Here is a 3,542-nt window from a genome sequence, read left to right as displayed (position 1 = left end):
CATTTTCAGGTATCTTTACGGTGGTGCCCCACTAGCAGGTACCAATTTACTGTATGAGTCTGTTCTCATGCTCCTAATAAAGACATACCAGAGACTGGGTAATTTATAAAGGAAAGAGGTTTAATAGACACACAGTTACACATGACTGGGGAGACCTCACAATCATGGCAGAAGGCAAACAAGGAGCAAAGTCACATCTTACATGGCGGCAGGCAAGAGAGCATGTGTAGGGGAACTCTCTTTTATAAAACCGTCAGATCTTGTGAGACTTATTCACTATCATAAGAACAGCATGAGAAAAACCCACCCCCGATTCAATTATGTCCACTTGGCCCTGCCCTTGACACGTGGGGATTGTTACTATTCAAGATGAGATTTGGGTGGGGACACAGCCAAACAATATTGGTAGTTTCTGAAAGATTTCTCTTTAATAAAGGTACTGTTTCTCTTTTGTAAATTAGTAAGTACTCTGTCAGAATTCTTTGTTATCATGTAAATAAGTGAATATCCTGTTACCCAACAACCTGTCATCCAATGATTTTAACACTGGTGAATGATCCTTATTTATATCAATTAGTATATTGTCTATTGCCAGCTGATTCTCTTCCTAGTTTTTATGTCTTCTATTAATTCACTAAAATATAGCAATAGTCGAAGTTTCTGAGTCTGTACCCATCCCGCCCTTCTATTACTGACTTGCTCAAATTTTACTTTTCTCAAATTGACCATGATTAGAACCATCATTTTTCAATATTCAGTGAAGGTTAATCTCCGTACTTATATTGGGAGCCCATTCTTAATGAAGCCAATGAGCAGAGCACATATCATAATTGCTGCTTTCCATTTACCTCCCTTCCCTAATAAACATCATATATTTATGTTATTTCATTTTAATGGGAAATAAAATATATCATTTATATCCCTTTCCAGTTTCCAGAGCAGTTTATTAAAAGCATCCTGGGATTGCACAATAAGCTGCTATCCTTTTGCAACTACTTGTCTAAGTCAGTATTATCCTGGTACTGAAAAATCAAGCAAAATTCAACTATAAGTTGGATGTTGAGACAGATATGACTGCAAATTCCATCTAGAAACTTCATATCAAGTCATTATGTTCATTGAAAGAGGCTCACGTAAATCACAATTTCCCTTTCCCAACAGGAGTACTGCTTGTTGTTGCAAAAGTGACATAAGGAGATATAACTAAGCCTGACCTGGCATGTCATTTAACCTAACCCACATTTATTATAATAAAAATGCAGTTTTTACTTGAATGAGAAGGTAACAGCCTGATTTTGAACAAGATTGTACAGAAATATAATCTCCTTGTTCAGTGCCATATTCAAATGGATATGTGTTAGTCAGGTTTTTTTTTTTTGCATCACTATAAAGAAATAGCTGCAACTGGGTAATTTACAAATAAAAGAGGTTTAATTGCTCATGGTTCTGCAGGCTATACAGGAAGTATGGTGCTGTCATCTGCTTGGCTTCTGGTGAGACCTCAGGGAGTTTTACTCATGTCAGAAGGAGAAGCAGAAGCAGGCAAGTCACATGGAATTAGAAGGAGCAAGAGAGAGAGCGGGGAGTTCCCAGACTTTTTTAAACAACCAGATCTCATGTGAACTGAGCAAGAAGTGGTTTATCACCAAGGGGATGGTGCTAAGCCATTCATGAGGGATCTGCCCCCATGATCCAGTCATCTCCTACCAGGCTCCACCTTCAACATTGGGAATCACATTTCAACATGAGACTTAGAGGGGATACACTCAAATCATATCAGGATATAAAGAGAATACAGGAAAGCTCCACAAAAAACTACTGTACTAGACAGCACAAATCAAAGCATTAGGGATTTTCTATGTGTTAAAAGCCAAAGACCTATGATGACCCACAGGCCTCCATTCCTTTTATGGCTTTGTCTCTTTCTATCTCCCTCTCCCTTCAGTGGAGGGTGGTCTGACTGCTGCTCCCAGTCTCCTGGTCCAGGGCCTTTGCACTAACTATTTCTCTGGCTTGCTCCCCACATCCTTTAAGTCTTACTGAACTGCCACCTTTTCGGACAGACCTACTCTAAACTTTTGTTTCATTTTGTAGCTCCTGCTTAATTTTCCTCCACTGCCTTTATAAACAGTTAATATATATAGTATTTATTTTGTTTCCTTTTTGCTACACCCACTAGAATGTGAATCTCATGGGGGAGGGCAGGAATTTTTGTCTGTGTCATTTGTTCCTGAACCCCGAGTTCTCAACATGTAATAATCACTTCATGAATGTTTGTTGAATGACTAAACATAATACTTCTGAATAAAGAGATACACATTATACATATAAAATATTTAGCACATAGTTTAAAAAGTGAAATTCATATAAAATATTTGCAGATACTTTGAAAGGCTTTGTAGAACTCTAGAGTTTCACAAGCCCAGTTTGAAATCAATTGTTGAAGTATTTATTATTGCTCATATTTCTAGCAGTGGAGAGTTGTGTAGGAAGCCCACTGAATAGTGGTGAAAAAATTGAACTGTTGGCATCCACCCAAACTGCTCCCTTGAACAAAAGATGTCATAAAATATATTGCTGAAATGTACCAATATTCTCACTTACCTGTTTTATTCAGTTCCAAATGTAAATAAAAAAGTTAAAACCACTTTATTTTTCCCTCTAATATAATTTAAAATTGCACCATTAAGAAACTAATGTAATTGTTCCTTTTCTAAGCTTCATATAGATGACTAGATACAGATTGTTAGAATTGGAAGGGCCCTCAATGATCATCAAATACAAATGATGCATTTCCAGGTGAGAAAACTGAAGCCTCAAGAAGTTGTATCTTGGCTTAAGTCATCTAGCTTGATTAGTAGAAATTAACCAGGATGGAAGCCTGTTCTTCTACAGCCCAGTTGAGTTTTTTCTTCAATCCATGCATGGCATGACATACTCTATTTTAATATTATATAACATAGGATTGTTTAAGAATAGATGAAGATCTCACTGGTGTGGGAAGGGATGGCTTAGAGATAGGATTGCACTAAGAGGACACACTCAGGTGTCTTCCTGAGCTAGAAGGACAGTCCTCCATCCAGTTTATCCAGATGAATCAGAGAATACAACTCAAACACTGATTTCATCACCATCGCATTTAGGTTCATGTAAGAATTTGGCATTCTTTAAGAGAGAAGTGTTGCCAAGGAAGAGAGAAGCAAGCAAATCTTGTAATAAAAATTAGACTTAAAGAGGGAAATATGCAACTTTCTTTTTGTTGCACCAAATAAAGCAATACTAATAAGATAGAATTAATGGCATGATGGCAGATAAGCTCTCTAAATTCCCCTAGTAAAATATTTGTGCCATGGAATAGAGCTTCAGAGCAGGTAAAAATGTGCAGGAGACCTGAATATGATTTAGTTTAAGTAGAGTTTGAAGACTCAATACTCTTTGTTTTCCAGATTCTCATTTGTATTCTTCAAAACAGGTAGGAGAAGAAATATAAAACATAATTTCTCCTCAATGGAAAAAATCACTATGAAATTTTAGTAGGGAAG

This window comes from Homo sapiens, chromosome 5, assembly GCF_000001405.40.
Source record: "Homo sapiens chromosome 5, GRCh38.p14 Primary Assembly".
Lineage (NCBI taxonomy): Eukaryota > Metazoa > Chordata > Mammalia > Primates > Hominidae > Homo > Homo sapiens.
The sequence above is the reverse complement of the archived record's forward strand: the minus strand, read 5'-3'. Positions refer to the sequence as shown.